Source organism: Homo sapiens, chromosome 13, assembly GCF_000001405.40.
Source record: "Homo sapiens chromosome 13, GRCh38.p14 Primary Assembly".
In the NCBI taxonomy this organism is placed as follows: Eukaryota; Metazoa; Chordata; class Mammalia; order Primates; family Hominidae; genus Homo; species Homo sapiens.
Window position 1 is genome coordinate 103042397 of NC_000013.11, and position 24239 is coordinate 103066635.

General features: G+C 39.0%; 1 protein-coding gene across 1 annotated transcript; it reads right to left on the reverse strand.

Moving 5' to 3' along the window:
* SLC10A2 (solute carrier family 10 member 2) lies at positions 1602-24021 on the reverse strand. Its single transcript, NM_000452.3, has 6 exons — positions 23477-24021; positions 15868-15986; positions 10224-10312; positions 8861-9036; positions 6893-7050; positions 1602-3864 (listed from the first exon to the last, which is right to left on the reverse strand). Exons 1-6 carry the CDS (start codon positions 23851-23853, stop codon positions 3737-3739), a joined length of 1047 nt encoding a protein of 348 aa, NP_000443.2. The 5' UTR covers positions 23854-24021; the 3' UTR covers positions 1602-3736.

Genomic DNA, 24239 nt, shown 5'->3' on the forward strand with positions numbered 1-24239 from the left:
AGCTCATGTAATTTACAAGAAATGTCTTTTATATTTCTTAATTAGCAGAGAAACCAGTCAATTACATCAGACTTTTTGTCAGAAAAATTTTTTTGACTTCTCTTTTCAATCTTAACAATATAGCGACATGGGCCTCTGTGTTGACCATTTCACATCTGAATTCCAACTTAAGAAAGATAGATAAGGCTCAGACATTTGTTATAGTTTGGTATCTCTTGGAGGAAAAAAAACCCTGTGTCCTCTTTCAATGTCTCTAACCAGTGCTCCTTTGTTTGCTCTCACAGTTTTACTCTCAAGGGTGATGGCTTTTGTGGGTAAATATTGGGATGGAAGTGCTGGCATGTTAATGGAAAATTGTCTTCTCCCCTAGACCACTTTATAATATTTATATATTCAAAATGTTCCAACACAAGCCCAAATACTTCATTTCTAAATCATGAAATACATACCTATACAAATATTCCAACATGGGCCCACATACTTCATTTCTAAATCATTAAATACATATCTATACGATTGGGAAAGATAAGCTTTTCTCAGATACCAATATTTTGAATTGTTTGCTTGGTGTTAAAAAGTGTTCCTACCCTTGACCAATGTACCATAGTAAGATTAGGCCTGAGAATAAGGCCTGACCATGAGAGAGGAGGTGGACATGGAGAACCCAGGACAACTCAAACACTGGGCATTTCAGGCAGGGCAGTTTGGGGAAGGTATACATCTGGAAGTTGAAGAAATGGAAACTTACTCCCTAACCATGCCTGCATACCCTTTGAACAATTTCATGAACTCCCAGGGGTAACCACACCACAGTTTGAAGACGGTTGTTCTAAACTTATGTGGTTTTTGAAAAGGTGAAGGATTGAGAAGCAATGGGATACCAAATATTCCAAGGAGATAAATTGTTTCCTACTGGAAGAGAGTGAGAGTTTCCTAGATTGAAAAGAGAATGATGTCTTTGAGGAGGAGTCAAATGAGGTTGATGACCTGAATTTCTTCAAGTCTCATTTATGAGAGATTTTAATGCAAGAGCTCCATAATTCTTTGTGTGTGTATGTGTATATTATACATATGACATATATATAATATATGTCATATGTATAATATATGTGACATATATAATATTATATATATGTCATATGTATAATATACATATATCATTTATCACCATTTTGTAGGAGGTGAAAGCTTTATTTGTAAGTTCGTGAAATACTTTTATTATTTTAAATAGGCTATCATTGTGTATGTGTGTAAATATACACACACGTGTATATATATGTATATACATCACCATTTCGTAGAAGATGGTGGCTTCATTTGTAAGTTCATGAAATACTTTCATTATTATTTTAAATCAGCTATCATTGTCAAACTATTTTTAAGAGTATTTAATTAATGTTCCCCCTGTATGATTTTCTGGAGGAAAATCCCAGTCAGTATCAGTGGGAGACCGAATTATGAGAGTGTTTAATTAAGAGTTTCTTTCAGGCACCTTTCAAAGAACAATTTAATATCTGAGAAACTCCACCTTATTTGTATCTCTAGAACTGAGCAGTGAGAAAATCTTGACACAAGTCACAAAGATTCAACTAGACCAAACATTACAAAAATCATTTTCATTTATTTAAGCCTTTAAAATAAAATATTCATTTAATATGATACTCAGAGGCAATAAAATACATAATTTAATCGACTTTTCAAATTCATTTAAAAATAGAGAGCTATCATTTTAGAAAGCTCAGCTATTTTTCTTCCCACTAGCAAATTAGGGAAAAAGACTCAAGTCACAAGTTACCGCATCATGTAAGAAAGCCAAGTCCTATCTTGCTCACCTGTCTTGCTCAACAGGGAGGAAAAACCTGCTTGCTGCAGCTGCTGGCATCCAGGCCCTTGATTTTGGGTGTGTTGAAATTACAAGAGGAGTTCTCAGGGTCCCTTTAGTGTACCTGTCTATTTTCTGATTGATGGGAAATGTGTAGGAGGTACTTAGCCGCTAGACTGTAAATCTTCCTTTCCACCATTGGGAGCATATTCTCTGACACTCTCTAAGAAGGAAGTCTGTACCCCCTCTCCTCCACTATCTCTTAAAATTATTTAGTCCATTTTGTATTTGTCTAATGATGGAAAAATATGAAGTACTTATTCAACTGTAAATGGAAATCTTGCATAAAAAGATCAATGTTATGAATTTGAAAAGCAGAATCCCTCACCCCTCTACTGGAAGAGCTAAGTTGAGTTCCTGTTCCCATAATGCTTGGGTGCACCAGCAGAATCTGAACTCAGAACATGCAAATGCAAAAAGCCCTTTCAGCCAAAACACTTGAAATAGACTCTATGAGGCAGTGAAAATACCCAATGCAAAATGGAACAAAACCACTAAGGACCGAGTGGTTAAGATTGTGTATTCTGATTGCTGCAGAATGAGGGAAAGGAAATTAAATTCGATCTTATAATTGAAAGTCCAACACTTGATGAGTTATTTTCCCCTGGCAGCCGTAAACCCCTGCTACCGTATATCAGATAGTCCTGGCTTCCCTTGGCTACACCTACTTACAGCATTGAAACAACTTTCCTGGCTGGTGGGGCCCTTCTGACTTTTGGGCCCTGGGACACGTTCTCTGTTTCAAATACTGTTTAATACTCATTTCCTGATCACTCTCGGACTTGATTCTTCTTATACTACTTACTCCTGCACATCTAATTGACTCTAGTTAAGCATTTCAACCAGGTTTCTGTTACTTGTGTTTTCTATGTATTTTATACTATCTCCCATTGAATTAATTCCTCCACTAGAGTCTTGGTGTTTCTCTCAATACTTCTGTCTTTGCACCTCCTGCCACCTCCCTGACCATGGTGCTTACTGTGGGTGGTCCCTGTCAACTGACTAGCTGTCATATTAGCTATGTGGATCCACTGCACACAGGAAAACCTTGAGGAAGTCCCTCTCCCAGATTTGAAGAGCTCTTTGCCAAATACACACCGTTTGAAAGAATTATGTTTTTCCTTGGAAGATCTAGTGGGTATCACTGGACCCCTGAGGTAGAGCAATAGATGTACGATATCCCTGCTGAGTTAAGAGCCTGCATCCAATATGGTTATTGAATTCTATTTTGTAATAATTTCCTCTCATTTCTGCTTTTGGACTGCCACTGGAGAAGGCAACTTTTTAAAAATACAGAAGTCAGATATTTGCCCATGTTATATTACAAAGTTATATAAATATATAGGTTGCAAAGCTTTTAAAATAATGATTAAAATGTCAGTGAAAGATGTTCATGTCAATTTTTATAATCATAAACACTGAAGAAAATCGTGACCACTGTAATAATAATAATTCATTACATCTACTTTAACATACAGAAAGTCAGGTTGTCATCTATGGGCTAGGAAATTCTGCATAAGAATTCAGTTTTGGTGTTAAAGATGTTTTCATTCTCGGTGTTCCCTATGTCAGGTTTAGTCTGAGAATATTTTGGGGGAATATTTCAATGACAATATATCTATATGAGTATACATACATATATAAAACATATACATATATATAGGAAACAATATTTGTCCCATTAAAGAATTGGGCCACCAGTCACTTGGTACTGAAACCAATACATGAATTCCAATGAAATTCCAATTTTCACTTTAACTCTTTTCTGCCAACTGTCCTACCAAAACAAATAATTAAATATAGTTACGGTTTAAGAACGTAATTTGGAACTCGTCTGTTTTGTCCACTTGATGTCTACTTTTCGTCAGGTTGAAATCCTCCATTTGCCTTATAAAACGATGACTCTGGCTCCGTTCCATTTTCTTTGCTCTCTGGAATTTCTGCCTTGTTTTTTCCATGACATTTCTTGTATGCCACATAAACTAGAAAACAATACACAGACAGTTAAGTAAATTTTATAATAATAAACTGCAAAATTACTTTGCATAGAGATTATAACCTATGATTCACATGGCAGATCACATTTTCTGTAGACTGGAGGCTGCTTAGAGAAAGAAATCACCATTCTTAGTTCTATGGCTACTCATGGCGAGAGGGATGACTGCACTTCAGGAAGACCTAGCATAAATCTTTAGGAGACATTTGCTCAGGGCAGCCACAAGCTTCTTCAGGCATTCAGCCCTGCACGTGGTACTCAACAATGATAAGAACAATAGGGAGGATTTATTCTGTACCGCCATATCCCAGTTAATGTGCTAGTTCTTAATAAATATACACATGGTGCAGTGCAACCTCCAGGACATGGGTTTGATGGTCCTCTGTAGAAGGACTTGAACTAGAACAACGTTCCCATTCCCTCCCTGCCTTCATTCAATCTTTCCCCCGGAGAGAAGAGACTCGGCTGATGGGTGATCAGCATTCCTCTTTTCTGTGGAGCTGCTGGTCTCTGATAGCAAGCATTTCTCAGCTTATTTTTAATGTCAGCTCATCAGGGTAGGCTCTGCCCTGCGAGGCAAGACCTGCAGTGTCTATGCATGTGTGAGTACATGTCTGCACATGTGTGAGGCAGTGGAGGAAAGGGTGGTTTCAACAAGCCCATTTGGTTGCAGATTCAAGTCATGTTTTCCAATTAAGTTTTATCCATAGTTAAAGTGCTATTCTGTTATCTGAATATCTGATTTTTCTTCTACTTCTCAATTGGTCACAAAGGCAAGAGGAGGACAGAAAATACTCCTTATAGGACCCCTCGAATTCTAATACCTCACATATAAAATGGCCATAATAATATTAGCTACCTCATAGGGCAATTGTGAACATTAAATGAGATAAAATTAAATGCCTAACATGGTCTGTGAAGAATAGTAAATGCTCAATAAATGTTAACGTTCATTATGATACACAGCTGAGAGAGATAATGACTTGCTTCAAAGATCTTATTAACTCAAGATCAATATTTCCTTTAGATTGGTCCCTGAACTTCTAGTCATATATTATTTTCAAAGCCACTGAACCACACTATTGAATTTAATTGAGCTTGTGGTCAATTTGAAGATCCGCCACTTATTATAAACTGTTTTGAGCTGAGAGTCCCTCAGCTTAAACTTATGCCAATGATTTCATTTAACCAAACTATACCTCTTGTTTATCCCTTTTTCTTTCCCTCCCTTCTCTCCCTGCCTTCCTCCCTCCCTCCCTCCCTCTCTCCCTCCCCCATCCTTCCTTTTTTCCCTTTTTCTTTCTTCCCCTCCTCTCCTTTTTCCAAAAAAAAATTTAGAATCCTAGCCTTACCACCAAAATATGTTTCCAGGTATTGTATACACTTAACAAAGATTCCTCCCTTATTTTTATACATACTGATGTAACTGGGAAATTTCAAGACCGAGTTGAGTGCTCCCTTTTCCTCATTCCTTCAACTTAATTTTTTATTAATCAACCTCTTTGGGGTTAGTGTTCAACTAGTGCATTACTTAATTGTTCTATCAACCAGTCCACTTTCTCTGGCTTATCTAGTAGACATCATTAAGTAATTATTTGGAAAAATCCCACTGTGTGCCAAATTGGGCAGATCAAACAACGTTATTATACAGAAAACAAGGTAATTAGGCCTGGACTCCTGCTTCCTGGAGCAGTGATAAATCCATGGAATGTTTTCAGTGGATTCAGAGTATTCTGTTCTGGAAAGGAAGCCTCTGCTTTGAGAATGACATTCAAGACAGTAGTGCAGAGGAGATCAGCATCACAGGGCAAGTTGAAGAGCTGATGAAGCTAAGCAGAAAAGTAAAGCAAAACCATATTTTTAGTAGAGATGGGGTTTCACCGTGTTAGCCAGGATGGTCTCGATCTCCTGACCTCATGATCTGCCCGCCTCGGAACCCCGTCTCTACTAAAAATACAAAAACAAAATTAGCCTGTCATGGTGGCGGGCACCTGTAGTCCCAGCTACTTGGGAGGCTGAGGTGGGAGAATGGCGTGAACCCAGGAGGCAGAGCTTGCAGTGAGCAGAGATCACACCACTGCAATCCTGCCTGGACGACAGAGTGAGGGGCTGTCTCAAAAAAAAAAGAAAAAAAAAGAAAAGAAAAGAAAAAAAGAAAAGAGAGAGAGAGAGAAAAGCAAAACCAAACAAAACCAAACTATATCTCTGGACATTTTGTGACCTAACATTTACATTAGTTTTGTTGCGTGCCTTCACTTTATATTCCTCATTACAATGTCATGAGGCTTTAAAAACTAGCTTTTTTATTAAAAAAAATAGAATGTAAAAATAGAGGTTAAATATTATCAGCCCTTGGAAAGGAAAATGTAGAAAGAATTTTCAACTAGGTGAAGGCCAGTGGGCGGTGGGGCCTGATGGGAAACGCTGGGAGCTTCATGCCACAGGACAGGAGAAGTAAGAATTACTTAAACTACACCTAGTACTTTACATAAGGAACATTTTTGCTTCAACCACTTCAATTATATGGGTATTTAAAATATATATATACATGCATATACACATATGCACACACACATCTTCCTTGTAAGTTAGCCTGGTAAATTTTCTTTGTATACCAGTTTTCTGATAAATATCCTATATTTATAAAGCATATCAAGACAATGTTTTGAAAAAGATCACCAAATCCTGAGTTCCTGGGCGAATGCCAGAAGGCGCACAATAAAATGGTCCCAACAGGTTCCTCTGCCTTCCTTATTACTGAGGAAAAGAAAGTCATTGGAGAGAATCGGCCTCCATTACTTTTCACTCAAAAATAATCTTTGCTAGAATCTTTTGGTAAAACTACCATCTTTTCATCAGCAATTGGAAAGTCATGATAATATGACGGTGGCTTTTTCCTCTCATATATTTGTACAATTCACCACCAGGAACGGGGAGTTTTAAAAAAATGTTGTTTTAGCAACTCCAGGATTTTTCAAAGATTATCATGAAATGGGATTGGCATGATTCCTTACATCCTAAGAATATTGCGGCAAAGGCGAGCTGGAAAATGCTGTAGATGAGCGGGAAGGTGAATACGACATTGAGCTCCTCAGGAGTGAAGGAGAGCTGAACGATGGTGGAACATAGCTGCGTGTTCTGCATCCCCGTTTCAAAAGCAACCGTTCGGCACCTAAAGAAGATGTTAAGAGAGCACATGTTTTAGTAGTTTTGTTATTGTGAAACATGAAAAGCAGATATAATAATAAGTACATATATATGCATTATGTCTCTGCTTTTAATGCATGTATTTAAGATAGGCTTATTCAATATATAACTTTCTATGGAATAAGTGTAATACTTATTAATGTATATTATACATCATCTCACCTATTGTATATAATATAAATAAATATATTTAATATGTGCATATGAAGAGTTGGCTCATTTACCACAGTGTTAGGTAAGTGGCCAAGAGGGTTCATTTCACCCTTTTCAATTATGATTTTGGTAACAGTGTAGAGCACAGGGCAGCAGCTCAGAAAATGCTCAAGATATGGTATTTGTTGTCGCTGTTTTATTGTTTAATTTGTTTTGTTTAGGCTGGGCTAAACAGGTGGCTCACACCAGTAATCTCAGCACTTTGGGAGGCTGAAGTGGGAGGATTTCTTGAGCCCAGGTGTCCAGGAGTTCAAGACCAGACTGGGCCACATAATGAGACCCTGTTTCTAAAACAACAAAACAAAACAAAAAAATTAGCCAGGCAAGGTGGTGTGGGCTTGTAGTCCCAGCTCCTCGGGAGGCTAAGGCAGGAGGATCACTTGAGCCAAGGCTTCAGTGAGCTATGATTGTGCCACTGGACTCCAGCCTGGGCGACAGAATGAGACCCTGTCTCATAAAAATAAAAAATTGTTGTGTTTAAATCTTGACAGAAAGTCTATAAGGTAGAAATTATTGTCCCCATTCTACAGATGATAAAACTCAGAGAAAGAGTGAATGCTGGGCCTGAGGTCCCCCGGGCAGTGTGTGGTCGGATTGGAAGGCAAGCCCAGGTCTGCCTGACTCAAACACTGCGCTCTTCTTGCTGCCCATACCCACTCCTCTCTTTCCCAACTTCATACATGCATCTGTCCCTACACCTGTGTTCTCTCTGCCTGTGGATTCGATGGATTAGTCAAAAAGAATTGTTTTTGCCCGGTACCAAATCCAGAAGTGTGAAACCCATTTTAATATTCGGCGCCTTTGGAGGATGAGCTCACCCTGCTGCCAGCTGGAGGAACGCTTGTCTATTCCAAGGCAGCCCAACTGCTTTCATTAATGTCATTCCACTCAGAGAATAAGAATACTTAGCAATGGAAGAGCCCCATCTGCCTTGTAAGCCGAATGGTCCAGAAGACTTTGAGCAAAAAAGAGGCAGTCAGTATTTTCTTTCTGGGGACTTGCATGACTTCAGAATGAATGGGCCTATTTAGAATGACATATTCAGAAATAGGATGAATGTGATTGATGAAGGGCTAAGGATTTTGATCCTGTCTTCAGTGTTTGCAGCTGTTATGGATTGATTATGTCTCCCTTTCCCCCAAATTCATATGTTGAAGTCCTAACACTCCGCACCTCAGGATGTGACATTATGTGGGAACAGGGTCATTGCAGATATAATTAGTTAAGATGAGTTCATTAGAGGAGGCCCTTATCCAATGACTGGTGTCCTTATCAAAAGGGGAGCCAGGCCACAGAGAGGTGCACTGAGGAAAGACACAGGAAGAAGATGGATGTCTGCAAGCCACGAGGAAGGCCAGTAAGGGATCCCTCCATCATAGCCCTTAGAAAGAATCAATTCAGTGACACCTTCATTTTCACTTCTAGTCTCTGAAACCATGAGACAATAAGTGTCTGTTGTTTAAGCCACTCAGTTTGTGGTTCTGTCTTATGGCACCTCTAGCAAAGGAATACAACAGATATTACAGATTAAAATTCCCAATGTGATTTACTAAATGCCATACCTGTACCAGGGTAGACCAGCAATTCTAGCCAGAAGAAACCCCAGGGAGTAACCCGCCACAGGAAATATTGTTCCTATAATCCACAGTTTGGGAGCAATGATCCAGGCGCTTTGGTACAATATTCCTCCAACCACAGCTATGAGCACAATGAGGATGGCGCCCGCGATGGACCCAATCTGAAAAAAAAAGGAATAAGTGAACCCAGCAATCATGAGTCAAAGCAAATCCAAGTATGTTTGTCAGAGACAAAACCTCAGCAGTCTCCTTGTCCCTGGGGGAAGTGATGATAAAGTTGTCTTTCTATGTACTCCAAGCCAGGAGGCTGCAATCAGCCCACTGGAAATACTGACGCTTGTCCCATGCTTTAAGCTTTAAGAACACAATAGGACATGTAGCAACCATTTGCAATTAGTCTGAAGATTTTCTGACTTGAAAATTATCCTTGTCAGAACAAAAAGACAACCCATTTCGATGACAGCCTGGAAGATTTGGCTTCCAGATTCAACTACTCCTATTCTGTTTCCTTCAGTAAATCAGGAACTTTCTGAACTGTAGTTTCTTTATTTGTAATTGGGGATAAAATGTCGCCCCAGCTTCCCTTTATGATTGTTACGATAATGAGAAAATGGGTATAGAACTCTATACAACTTTAAAAAAGGTATAAGCAAATGAAAACCACTGTTGTTATTTTTTTTCTCCTTTTCACATTTAAAACAAAATTTGGAGATTATAAACATTTTTTGTCAAGAGAAGCAAGGAATACAATGGACTTACTTTGCCCCGAGCAGCAGAATCTATCTATATTATCTACATACATATCCAGATCATCTAGCTAGAATATAGTTAGTGAATGGGATTGCCAGGCAATGAAATGGCCATATGCATACAGACATAAGAAAGATATGTTCTATTTTCTAAGAAAGCCATTTAGATATATTGTATAACACAAACTCACATAACAGAGATAACAGTAATATGCCCTGAGGACAGAATAGAGTAAACCCAAGAGGTGATAGTTCAGTGGAGTGTCTTAAAGAATGGGTAGAAATTTTTCCTGTGACTGCAATAAAGAAGGGCATGCTAGGCTGGGCGCAGTGTCTCATACCTGTAATCCCAGCACTTTGGAAGGATCACTTGAGCACAGGAGTTCAAGAACAGCATTAGCAACATAGTGAGATCCCACCTCTCTCTCTACACACATATAAAGAAGGACATTCTAAAGGAGAAGACTGCATGGCTAATGACTTCAGGCCCCCACTCAACAGTAATCATATAATGAGAATGAAACCATTTCATGGATGGAAAACCCTATGGTTTTGATTGTCACAGTGGAATATTTAATGGTGTGAACTGGGATACTTACTTTAAGTATGATCTTTGCTTTTTGGGGCCATTTGTGATTAACAAACATTCCAATGGAAACAGGAACAACGAGAGAAACCAGAGATGTACCTAAAGATGACAGAAGGGCAATGTGATCAGCAGAACAGGTGACACAGGAAAGAGAAAAACAGAAGAACAAGCAGCCTGAAGAAAGATTAGGTGGTATTTCAGTCTTCCTTCTTGAATACACAAAACAGAATACAGAATTACACACACACACATGCACACACACACTCACTCAACTTCTTCACCCACTCCAGTAAATAATTTAATATTATTGGTAGATAATTGATAATATCAATGCTGTAAATTCTTTCACTAAATTCTGCATTAATTTTTTAGAGTTTCTTATTTTGCCAGCATACATTAGTTTTAATTTGTCAGAATCTTGGCTTCTTTAGTCTTTGGATCTTTATATCTCTAGGAAAAATAGCTCACCAAGGTGTGTGTGTGTGTGTGTGTGTGTGTGTGTGTGTGTGTGTGTGTGTATGGCATACAAAGATGACATTTTACATTTGTCTGCTAGTTCATGGTAGTAGAAATAAAAAATAATTTTAAAATATTTTAAAATGAAAGAAAATGTCCAAAATTAGCTCAAGATCACCAGGTATTCTGACATCTGACTTTTGGTTAAAACTAGCTTTAGCTATTCAAATTTACAGCAGAGAGGTGAGAACAAAAGTTGAGAAAGCGTGCTTTAAATTTTCCATGAGATAATATATTTGACGAACTCTCATGTAATTATAGTTCTTTGCAGTAACATGCTCACCTGGCCAGATAAAAGAGTCATACTTCAATTTCACCATGTTAAATTTACTGCTGTTTTTGCGACATGTGGTTTGTTTCTCCATGTTATTTAACACTCATTTGTCCAATAGCTGATTTCATATAATTTAGCACCAACAACTTCTAACTTTTCATAGGTTGTTTCTTTTTCAAACATCCTTTTAAAGCAGTATAAGAAAGTGATATTGAACGGTGAAATTCTGAGAGTGGATGTTGCTTAGTATTGATTAACTAGGTAGATTGAACTAGGACTAGAAAACAGATTCTGGAATCCAAGGCTATAGATATTAATTTAAAGTGAATGCAATAATGATGAAAACATAATTTCCTTGTAGTCTTCTAGCCCTCCTGGCAATATAAGGGTCAGTGATGACTTTTGCCCAGAAATTACTTAGCAGAATTAAATAATGACTAAGGGTACTAAGAGTAGGAAAAAAAAAGATAAATGAGGGGGAGTAAGGAGGGAATAATGGAAAAAAAGATGTGAAAGAGTGGCGTTGACACACGTACTGCTGAGATGCCCCAGAAAAACCCCCCTTGGGTATCCTTGCATCCTGCTGTTTTGGGAGTGATATGGTTTGGCTCTCTGTCCCCACCCATATCTCATGTTGAATTATAATCCCCAGTTGGAGGATTACAACTAAAGGACGGGTCTGTTGGAGGAGGGGCCTGGTGGGAGGTGATTGAATTGTGGGGGGCAGACTTCCCCCTTGTTGTTCTTGTGATAGTGAGTTCTCATGTGATCTGGTTGTCTATAAGTGTGCACACCTCCTTCTTTGCTCTCTTCCTCTGCTCCAGCCATGTAGAAGCTGCCTGCTTCCCCTTCCCCTTCTGCCATGATTGTACGTTTCCTGAGGCCTCCCCTGCCATGCTTCCTGTACAGTCTGTGGAACTGTGAGCCAACTAAACTTCTTTTCTTTATAAATTATCCAGTCTCAGGTAATTCTTTATAGCAATGAGAGAACAGATGAATACAAGAAGGAAACTCCCTCTCCTGGGTCTTTAGACCATTGCCTAAGTTTTTGAAGTTTGTAGGTCTTAAAACCATCTGGATATATGACTTGTTTGTGATGTGGTAGCTTAAATCTAGCTGCAAGTCCTGTGCTTGGAATGTTAGTGTGGTTAGGTTTTGGTCCTATATTTTAATGTGCTGAATCTGTTTGGCCCCTCCTGCTAAGAGTATTCATCTTTTTGAGGCAGCCCAAGCCAACGGGATAACACATAAGCAGCACCACCTGCTGAAATCCATGGCAGAATTGCTTTTCTTTCCTGACCAGATGAGGCCAGATGAAGTTTTTCAGGGACCTGGGGTTGACTGGGAAAGGGACTCTGTCTTTCTTTACACCCACAGTGTGTGGCTTCTGCTTGTAGAGGTGGATGTTGTAACTTTGGTCTCCAGTGGGCTGGTGATCTTGCTCTTTTCTTTCCCCATGCTCTGTTTGTTTTACGTATGCCTCATATGCCCATGTTCTCTCTGTAAAGTGCCTGTCTATGTAGATGAAAAAGCATCCACTCATGGTTACACATTGAATCCATAACTTGGTCTTTAATCAAGTTTACACAGTAGATATCAGAGGAAAGAAAGGTAGAAAGAAGAATGAGAATGAAAGAGAGTGGTGGTGAATGGATTCATGTGGTGGGACTGGGAGCCAGATAGATTTGGAACTGAACCTTTCTGTATTCCCAAACTGTGGGAACTGTGCAAATCATTGAACCCCTCTGAGCTTTTGTTTCCTCATTTGTAAAATGGGTGGAGTTATGTCTGCCTTACAGTGCTGTTGTGAGAATTAAATGATGAAATGGCTATAAACTTCTTGGCACAAGACACTTAAAAATGTGGGGTAGAGAGGAGTAAGTACAACAATTTGCAGCAGTGGTTTTATTTTAGTGGTACCAGCTGCATGGTCTGCCTCCTCTCGATCCAGATGTCAGCATCTGAGGGGGCTCACAGGTGTTTACTGAATCACTGGAGCATGAAGTTGTACCAAACACGTCTGCCCATAGAGCTGTGTAGAGAATAGACTGTGGGCTATTCCAGCTTCCTGGTGACCTTGGGCAAATAATCACCCTGAGCCACAATTTAGAAAGCAGTGATAACATCTTGTGAAGCAGTCAGTTCATTTATTTTCTATGTTAAAGAACTAGAAAAACCAACAGCAAAAAGGTGAGCTTGGAGGCCTGGGCAAACATGGTGAGCAGGGTTAATATCTGTAGAAAGTAAAAAGTTTCCTCTTCAAAGTGTCCCTTGTTGTTAAAGGAAAATAATAATAATAATAAACATTAGAAATAATAATTTCTTTTAAAGACTAACTTTCTTCAAGCCCCCTTACTTTGTGCTAGTAACTCTTTGTTAAGCCCTATTCTATGTAGCTGTTAGATATAAAGGAATAAGTACATTCTATGTCCTTGTACTTTAACCAAGATATTTATGCTGAACATGCTCACAGGTACATTCCAGCTTGCAGCCTATGCCCCTTCCTTATTTGGAAATATTATTACTTTTCTAAGTCCTTTCACAAGCAACGTCCTCTTTTCCTTTGTTGTCTATTGCCTATACCTATTTAGAAAAGTTTTAAATTATTAGCCAGTCAGGTTTTAGCTTAGATTGTGATGTCTGGCTCCAGCCAATGGAGACAGGACACAGTAGCAGGGACAAGCTGCATAAGGGATACGAATTACTTCCCTCCATTGTTCAGGTGTGCTGTCACCATTGTGCCATCTGTGAGGAGCACTCTTTCTGCAGAAAGTAAAATTGCCTTGCTGAGAAAACTTTTTGTCTGAATGCTCATTTTTCCTTGTGGTACTGAGGAACAAGTATTCTGTTTCTGAATAAATATTTTACATATAACAATATCTTTGTTTTTCAAACTTCTCTCTTTTTCCGTTTTCTTTTCTCTTTTCCTATTTTTCTTTTCTTTTCACTCTTGACCTCTTATGATGACCTTTTCCTCCATTGAAGTGCTAATTGATTTTTCATTTTCTCCTTATTTCAAAATTTATTCACATCACAGAATATGGTATAAGTCATTCACACTGCAGTTAGAATTATTCAGTATTTCCATGAGTCATTTCTCAGAAGGGAATGTATATCAAAAGGAGAATATTTTATGGCTTAAATTATTAAATTATTACAGTGAGTATTGTGGAATCAAAATTCCTCACTCAGCAGACAGGTTCTTTGAGAGGGATATAATGGTCACCACTCACGTAAACTATGGTTTTTAGCTCTATGGAAGGCGTCCGCTGACAGAGCAGCCAGAGAGTCAAGCAGCATGAAGGCAAAAGCAGGTGGTAGTGGAGGGTCACCCTAAAGTCTCTTGTCAGGAGGTTATATATGATATTAAGGTTCTCTCCTGGAGTCTGAAGAATCTTGTATATCAAAAGCCCATACTGAATAGGGCATGTCAAGGAGGACAATTTTTTTTTTGGTCTAATGGTAATGGTAAGAGTAGGAGAGAGAGAAGAGGCTACAAACATTGTAATACAGATCATCCCCAATTAGTATTCACAAAGTTTATTCTAATTCAGTTGTATATTCCCTCAATCACCCTAAATCACAGAAGCAGTCTTTCTCAGAAATGGAAGGCATTTCAGCCCAGCTTCCTATCCCAATAGGAGTCCCTTTTACAAGCATCCAGGTGGCTTATCATTTAGCCTTTGCTTGGATGCTTTCTTCAATGGGAAACCCACACCTTTCTGAGGCAGCTCATTGGGATTTTTTTCCAAGGTCAGTGGGGAAAAAAACCCAGGTATTTGGGGCATATAGTGTACCTGGTGATTGTTACTGATTTACTATTTTGCCCACATCTTGTCTTTTGTTCGTGATAGTTCTGTGGGAAATGCCTATTCCTGGTATACCAGGAACTCTCTTGTTCTTCCTTTGACCCTCATCCCTAAGTTACAACAATAACTTAATCTCCCACTATAATTTGTTTCCCCAGAAACAGAAAATAAGGTTTTTGGGATGAGGGTGAAATGAGACAGAGTCATTACTAGTAAATTTGACTCCTGGAGCATGACTTTGCCATTAAATCAACTTTTGGGTCAAGGTGTGGCTCACAGTCGAGTGTTAGAAACAGTGTGTTTCGTCTAGCAGTTTTCTGTTGTAACACTCTGGATTGCTTACTCAGTGCTCTATTTTGAAACCATTATGTGATTTTAAAAAATTTCTTCAGGCTGGGCGTGGTGGCTCATGCATGTTATCCCACTTTGGGAGGCTGAGGCCGGCAGATCACTTGAGGTCAGGAGTTTGAGACCAGCCTGACCAACATGGAGAAACCCCGTCCCTATTAAAAATACAAAAATTAGCCAGGCGTGGTAGTGCATGCTTGTAATTCCAGCTACTAGGGAGGCTGAGGCAGGAGAATTGCTTGAACCCAGGGGGTGAAATTTGCAGTGAGCCGAGATCACGCCCCTGCACTCCAGGCTGGGTGGCAGAGTGAGACTCCATCTCAAAAAAAAAAAAAATTTCTTCAATTCAAGTGTCTGGATGCAAAATCCTATGACCATTAACTAGTGACACTCTGGGTTAAGGAATAGGTGCAAGCTCCCATGTCCCCAAAGCTTAAGCCTCCTCAGTCCAGACTGAGGGCTGGGGAGGGGGCTCCTTTCCCTGGTGATTCAAATTGAAGAAAAGACAGGTTCTCCCATAAGGTCAAGGTTTGGAATTTACATTCTGCCATCACTCTCCAAACGCAGGGGTGACTTTATAATGAAATCAGGCAAAAACTCCTACTAGGGCAATAACGGTCAGGTGTGAGCCTGGTCTGAGAGCCTAGCAGGGGGTAAGCAGAGAGTTTGAGGGTAACAGTCAACAGTCTTACAGATGGATGACTTACCTATGTTATCATAGGGAATTACGATGCTCCCAGAGTCGACCCACATTTTGGTATAGATAAGGAGGCACAGCGGCATCATTCCGAGGGCAAGCAGTGTGGAGCATGTGGTCATGCTGACGCTGAAAGGCAATGGGCAGATTGATACATCCACCTGTGGTGTTCTAGGGAAGATGCTGTTTTATTTTTATTTTTTAATTTAACTTTTATTTTAAGTTTAGGGGTATATGTGCATGTTTGTTATATAGGTCAACTTGTGTCATGGGGGTTTGTTGTACAGATTATTTCATTGCCTAGGTATTAAGCCTAGTACCCATTAGTTATGTTTCCTGATCCTCTCTTTCCTCCCACCCTCCACCCTCTAATAGGCCCCAGTGTCTGTGTTCCCCTCTATGTGTCCATGCGTTCTCATCATTTAGCTCCCACTTATAAGTGAGAACATGCAGTATTTGGTTTTCTGTCCTTGTGTTACTTTGCTAAGGATAATGGCCTCCAGCTCCATCCATGTTCCTGCAAAAGACTTGATCTAGTCCATTTTTATGGCTGCATAGTATTCCATGGTGTGTATGTACCACATTTTCTTTATCCAGTCTATCATTGATGGGCAATTAGGTTGATTCCATATGTATGCCATTGTAAATAGTGCTGCGGTGGACATATGTGTGCATGTGTCTTTATAATAGAACGATTTGTATTCTTTTGGGTATATACCCAGTAATGGGATTGATGGGTTGAGTGTATTTCTGTTTTTAGGTCTTTGAGGAATTGCCACACTGCTTTCCGCAATGGATGAACTAATTTACACTCCCACCAACAGAAGATAAGTATTCCTTTTTCTCTGTAACCTCGCCAGCATCTGTTAATTTTTGCCTTTTTAATAATAGCCATTCTGACTGATGTGATATGGCATTTCATTGTGGTTTTGATTTGCATTTCTCTAATGATCAGTGATGTTGAACTTTTTTTCATATGATTGTTGGCTGCATGTGTGACTTCTTTTGAGAAGCATCCGTTCATGTCATTTGCCCACTTTTTAATGGGTTTGTTCATTGTTTTCTTGGAATCTAATTAAACTAAAGAGCTTCTGCACAGCAAAGGAAACTATAAGCAGAGTAGACAAACAACCTCCCGAATGGGAGAAAATTTTTATTTTCGATTCATGATAAGAAAGTCCTGCAAGAATCTGTCTCAACCTGTAGCATCGTCTGGTGTGATGAACAGTAATATACATGTGCCTATGTGCCTGAGTGTATTCAGGGCCTGGCCTTGAGCAAAATGGGCCATATTTGGTGTCTTTCCACTTTGCCTTGTGCCGTCCTTCCCTCCCCTTTTATTCTTAAGGGTCAGAAACAGTATTAAACGATGGGTTAAAGTCATCATTAAATAATGTATAAGGTTCGCTGGGTGTGCCATCCTTCAAACATTCAATCAAAGAACAGCAAACACATTTAAAGCAGCTGACACCACCAAGGCTGCATGTGTCTGACCATGCTGAGATGGAATGGGCCTCCCTGGGCCCCTGGAATAGAATGCATGTCCGAGGGAGGAGGCCTCGCTGTGTTGCCATAAAGCAGAAAAATTACTGCCCAAGTGACCCTAGCTTGGGACAAGAAGCGGAAGCTGACTTAAAAATCAAAAGAAAGCATGCAAGCGGCAGGGTAGACATAAATTCTTAGCACTGAGTAAGTTATTGGCAATTTGGCAAATGTGTGTTCAGAAGAACTAGTGTCTGGTATCATCCCTGCTCAGAGTGTTTGCATTTTAATAAGAGGGTCTGGCTGAGTAGGCTATCTACATGGAGACATTAATGCCAAATGATGCTATCTCTAGTACTAGGACAGTGGGTCAAAGAAAGATTTTTGGGGAGTGAGTCTTCCGGGTCCTCTTCAAAGGGATCTGTACACAGCGTACATTCTCTGCCTTTAAAGCCTGAGCTCTAAAGCCACACACTGTCTGGGCTGAAAGCAGGCGGTGCCACTTAGTGTGTTAATTTGAGTAATTTAGTTGACTTCTCTTTACCAGTTTCCTTATCTAAAATGGCTGTAAGGATAGAATGAGCCAATGGTGTCCGGCACTTAGACCAATGCAAAGCACTCTATTAAGAGCTGGTTGCTACTACCATTTTTTTTTTTTTTTTTTTTTTAAATAGGGTCTCTCTCTGTCACCCAGGCCAGAGTACAGGGTCACCAACTTGGCTCACTGAAGCCTGGGCTCAAGTGATCTTTGCACCTCAGCCTCCCGAGTAGCTGGGAATACAGGCATGAGCCACCATGCCAGGCTAATTTTTAAATTTTTTGTAGAGATGGGGTTTCACCATGTTGTCCAGGCTGGTCTCAAACTCCTGGGCTCAGGTGATCCGCTCGCCTAGGCCTTCCAAAGTGCTGGGATTACAGGCGGGAGCCACCGCACCCTGCATCTCTCTGCTGTGATCATTTATGTTACCATGTTTTTGTATCTTGTGTTCCACCAAATAGAATCGGGAAACTTAGAGAAATGAGAAATTTCTCTGAAAGGCCCTTCTCTCAACAGGTCGTCATTGAGGTTGTCAAGAGTAGTAATTTCTTAAGGGTATTATGGGTGTACTTGAAAGAAAATGTTAAATATTTATATTACCTGCCCCCCAAAACAACAACAACAACAACACACTATACTAAGAAAGGAGCTAACAATGAGAAATTTTGTTTCAAGGCACAGTTAAATTTGCACAGTTTGGCAAAATACAGGGTGGGACAAAGTTCATCAGAGAGCTTAACTTCTCTAATAATATATTTATTTTTAACCAGAATGACCTCATTTAAAATAGGCTTAAATAATTTAGATAAAAATACTTGTTTTAGTAGAGCTAAAATATTACAACAGTAACAAATAATGTGGATGTATTTAAAACTTTAAGCAGTTCAATCTATTCTGGTTATAGGTAAATTTAGGCATGAAATAGATGCTAAGGCAGAATTGTACACCAGACAAACAAGTTAATTTGTTATTAATAGTACTTTGTCCTACTTATAATGAAAGTACTGGAGTTTGAAGGTAATTTTTTTCTCTGTTCCTTCCTCTCTTCTTTCAGTGTTCTCTTTTTTTTTATTTTATTTTAAAAAATATATTAGAATGGATTTAAAGTTGTCCCTATAATAAAATCACTTTTTTTTCTGTGCATCCAATATTTTTTTCTAGAGTGTGGTGGGAATCTGGTGGGGAAGTGAGGAGGATTTATTAACTGGGTTCCAGTGAAGAGAAGTCTGAGAATTTTTGTTTTAAAATGTGAGAAAATGTTTAAGAAGGAAGTCTTTTTCTGTCTTTGTTTTTTTTTCAAAGATCCTTGCAAAACCTTTAATTCTGAATATTGCTAAGACAATCTATGACGTTGTATCATAATTTTGAGTTTGGTGAGAGCAGTTTCTTAAGGATCGTGATGAGGGACAAAAGAGGGTTTGGAGAAGGAAAGGTTTAGACTTGTGAGCAGCACTGACGAAGAGACCTTGCAGATGAACAGACGAATAGGTAGCTGGAAGTTGATGCTATTTGAATGAATATAAGAACAAAATCAAACCACTCAAAATGAGATTTAAAACAATTCACAGATAACGAATTTTAAGAAATAATATAGAAGCCTAAATTAGCAAAAGAAAATATTATCTTACACGAAAAAATCTGAAGTTCTATAAAAGGCATGTATATAAAAAATACATACACTGCCTTGAATTTATATTAGACTGACAGAAAAGAGTCAAGTATAAGAAAAATAAAAAAAAAATCTTGGTCTTAATTTTGACTTCAGCTCTATTAACTGCCAGGGAGATTTTCTTTTGTGTGTATGGAAATAAAAGAAAGAATAAATGTAAATTTAGTGAATGTTGAGGAATTCAGTGAAATCAGTGTTAAGCAATGTAAAAGATTGTAATCATATTAGAAGTAAAATACCAAGTTTGAAGGCTCTAACGTAGCGTATATAGGCAGTGCTAGAAACTGGAGAAGTGAAAAGTGATAGAAGCAGTGTAGAGAAAGCTTATGAGCCTGCAAAGTGGTAGTGGGTAGACCTGGGTGATTCCAATTCTGACTCAGGCATACATTGACTCAATGACCTTGGTCAAGGTTATGAATCTTAACTTCATTATCTGCCAAATGCAGAAAATAATAGTACTAACTTTAGAGGATTCTTGGGAGGATGAAATATACCAACTTATTTTGAGTACTTAGCACTGTGCATGGCATATACTAGTGTTTAATAAATATTAGCTAGTAAAATCAGTGCTACTGGAGAGAAACAATGTTTGGTTACTTTTAGGGAGAATAAAGGAAAAAGCCGAATGGTTTTGGGTTAGGTCTCCCAGAGTAGAGAAGAGAAGGACATTTATGGGGTTGACATAGGAAGGATTGATTGCTGTGAATTTGTGGTAAGCTACAGGGTGAGATTTCTTGAATATCTAAAATATCAATGAATGCTGCACTGGAAGCTGAAAAATCTAACAGCATTTGCCCAAAGAACAAAGGATGTGGTAGGAAAGTCTGTAAAATAATAAAAAGGAATGTAGAAAGTAGGTGGCAGGGAAGGAACTGGGGGCAACTGGGAGAAGGATGCATAAGAATGGATTCCCCAAAGAGGAAGCCAAAGAAAGGAAATGAGAAGTCCTTGCATGGTGTCGCTGAGGCCATTAAGAAGGATGAAGACACCGGATATTTGCCTGTGTCTGGGGAGAGAGCAGACAAAAAGGAGATAGGATGTTTCTGTGTCCTCTCAACTATGGGTTTTGGCCACAAGCAGATTCACCTGAAAAGTCACCATCTCTTCTCCCTGATGCTTTTTGTGCATGTGATGTCCATGGCACAGCTGCAACTTAGGTGAAAATATATGTGCACCAATCAGATTCACAAACTCCAGGCTGGGAGTGGTCAGAGAAGGAGCTGAAATAGTACTTGCTGGATTCCAATGATCAAGGACTATTGTCTATTTTTTTTTTGTTTTTCAAAGTCACTAGAGATTGCAAAATGCGGTGGCTTTCCAGGTTCATAAGAGATGACAGAGTGAGAGAGAAATGTTTTGGTTTCTTCTCCCAAGAACCATAACCAAGAGAGTTAAAACCAGGTGGAATGGTTTTGCTGGCATTGTGTGGCATTAGCTCAATTAGTGTAGCTGCCTGTTAACATAAACAGTCATGTCTTCATGCCATTGCTGGAGTTCAAGTGGAGATGGAGAAGGTAAAATTCTAAGTGTACACAACTGGAAATATAAATGTTAGATAGGATTGTATCTAAGTAAATTATCAGGAGACTTTAGTTATCCAGTTCTTAATCCAGAAGAATAAAAAGTTTTGGAAAACTGTTACGCAATAGCTCAGGTTTTACCCTTTTAATTAATTTGTATTAAAGAAATATTGGAATATTGTTTTCCTAACACACAATGCATAATGTCATCATCTTACATAGCAGTATAATTTAACCTCTTCTCAATGATTAAGACCGATCATGATAAACATGATTATCGGTTGTTCTAAAATACCGTGACATCTTCTTGTGTTTGTAGAAGAGTAAGTGATACAGAGACCAGAGACTGGAATAAGTGCTACAGAAACCAGAGAGAATAATTGATAATTAAGAGAGAATATGTGATAGAGAGAATAAGTGATAGAGGATAAATGATAGAGAGATGGCTGTGTGTTGTCAGTGTCTGCTTTGCTTTGCAGGCATTTGATCTTCTCTTTTGCCCTTCCTAACACTCTGCTTCCTTCCCCGCTTCTTATTTCTGGGAAATAGCACAACAGAACTTTAAAATAAAAATAGTTAAGTCGGTCCCGCATGAGGAGCATTTATGAGATTAAGTGAAATTTATTTTGGGTGTGCAGTGTCTTTTATTGGGTCTTGTTGAGCTCTGGATAGGTGAGGTTGCTCCATGTTGCGTTACAGGGCTTATTTTGACTTGCTGGAAGGATTCATTTGCACGGATTTAGCTGGAGGTTTCTACCAAAGCTTCATATTCTACTTTTAGTTCTTATTAAAAAAAATAATTTATAGGAATTGTTATGCTAGGTGGACAGGATTACATAATCATCTCCTGTTTCAAGAGAAATAAGATTTCCTTAAAACCACAGAAAAATGTAACTTGGAGCTTTTAGGTTAGATCTTACTGTTTTTAGCTCACAGAAGAGAATTCATTTCAACAACCTAATAGTCCAGTACCACACACGTTTTTTTTCTGTCTTATAAAAGGGTTCCATATGTGGTATTACATTGAGGTACAAAACTCCTCTGCACTAAAAGTTACAAATATTATGAGAAAGCTGTTTATTGGGGGTCAAGGCCCAATGTTCCAAGTAGTTCACTTTTCTCAGTGTAACAGGTGCTGGCATTTAGAATTCTCACTTCTGTGTACCTGTGTCCAGGTCAAACTAAATTGAGGTCTAAAAAGACCTTATTGCTATATCGTGGTTCACAGATTAACTAAACCTGAATAGCACTTGCCATCCTATGTTGTTTTATAGGGCTTTCCTTAAAAAAAAAAAAGCAATTGCAAGGTGGATATCATGTGTTTTCTTATGTGAAAGACTAAACCATATGAAGGTATAGGGTTTGTATGACTTTTCTAAAGCTTCTGGAGAAACCAGCACCAGTTGAAATGAGACAGCAGGTTCCTAATTGATCACTGGGTACTCTATCAATCCAGTGTTTACAATTCTACACTTTGTGCTTCTCTCCTCTGCCAATAGTAGCTGGGGATGAACAGAGCTAATTGCCTACTGTACAGTATTTAATAAGCACACGTTGCATTAGCACCTGGATGGTTTGCAGAAGGAAATGCATACCTTTCAAGGGAAATGAGGAATTGTGAGCTAAGGAAAAAGACATTTGTCTATTCAACTTTTAGCATTAAATTTCTCAATCTAGTCACATTAATGCTTCATCTTATTTCTATTAGTTTTTTTTTCCAGTGCTAGTTCAGACTGGCACGGGATGAAATGGGCAAACATTGCAATTTAGATTACTCTGTAGGAAGTGGAGAAAACGTTTTCTGTTTATTTTGTAGTAAGGTAAGCATAATTTTAAAAAAGCTGCTATAGGCTTTTTCCCCCACTTTTAATGCCAGTAGAGGTGAAGCAAATTTACAAATTCTTCCTTAGGTTTTATACCAGGAAAATGTTTGCCCAAAGAACTGGCTATATTTGATGGAGTTGACCACTGTCTCACTACAGGTTCTAATGTTTGACAAACAGTTTTATTTTATGATTGCACCCAGAGCTCCTCATCATTACAAAGAAAGTGTATTTTGCTTTTTTTTTCCTGCTACCAACAGGATAAACCTCCTCAGCTGCAGCTTGTGGTTTGGAAAAGATTACTTTTTTAAAAAAGCTTTGAATCTTTTCCTAGAGATCAACAGCAATTATGCAACTCCCTGTTAACTGAGTTAGATTTAAAAACACAAACACAAAATATAAATCCCCCAATTCCAATAGCTAAGCAGCTGTGCTAGAAGGCACGGGAATGCATTTATTCTCTCCTGTTTGATTCCTTAGTCATACTTTAGATGCGTGGCAAATCAGTTGGACATTCAGAATGCCATAGGCTTCTGGAAGGATTACTCCAAGGTGATTGCAGTAGTTAGAGGTATAGATAATCTTACCTCAGGTCCATGTCGCCATCGACCCAATAGGCCAAGATATTGGAGGCAGTTCCTCCAGGGCAGCATCCTATAATGAGCACCACTACGGCCTGGAGCGGGAGGATGTCAAAGGCCACCGACAGGATGAATCCTGTGAGGGGCATGATTCCAAACTGACAGAGGAAGCCAACACAAATGCCCCACGGCCGCTTTATGTGCCCTAGAAATTTCTTGATTTCCACGTTGCATCCCATGGAGAACATCACCAAGGCCAACAGGATGGTCAGCACCGTACTTAGGACCACACTTAGGATGTTATTGAAATTGCTCTCAGGTACCACACAGGATGCACCAGAGCAAACTGTTGCATTGTCCACACAGCTGTTCGGATCATTCATTGCTGGGTCTGCTGCTGGAAAGGCCAAGTCCACAGAAGCGCTGGTCCCTGGGCCCTGGCTCTGCTGCTGGTTGAGTTAAGCAACGTTTACTTCTACCCCATCAAACTTTTAAACCCCTCCTAAAAATATGTCACTTGGTGTCTCTTTTGAAAGCCACCTTAGGGAAGTAATAAAAAACAATAAAGCTAGGATGTCAGTTTCAAGAGGTAGCATTACAACACAGAGCACGTTGTGAATCACAAAAGTCCAGCAAAATTATTGGTCAAGACAGAGAGTTACGATTAATCATTTATTGGCATGATAATGAACCATGCCATATAAAAAGAGCCACGTTAATGTTTAATGTCCTCGAGGGTTTGTTGGATAATTTCAGTTAAGTGACTTTT

Coding starts and splice junctions, on each gene's coding strand:
- SLC10A2 (NM_000452.3), bottom strand. CDS start 23,853: ATGAATGATCCGAACAGCTGTGTGGACAATGCAACAGTTTGCTCTGGT. Junction 9,037..10,223: donor AAGCAAAGATCATACTTAAA/GTAAGTATCCCA, acceptor TTTTTTTTTCAG/ATTGGGTCCATCGCGGGCGC. Junction 7,051..8,860: donor GCTGGTCTACCCTGGTACAG/GTATGGCATTTA, acceptor CATCTTCTTTAG/GTGCCGAACGGTTGCTTTTG.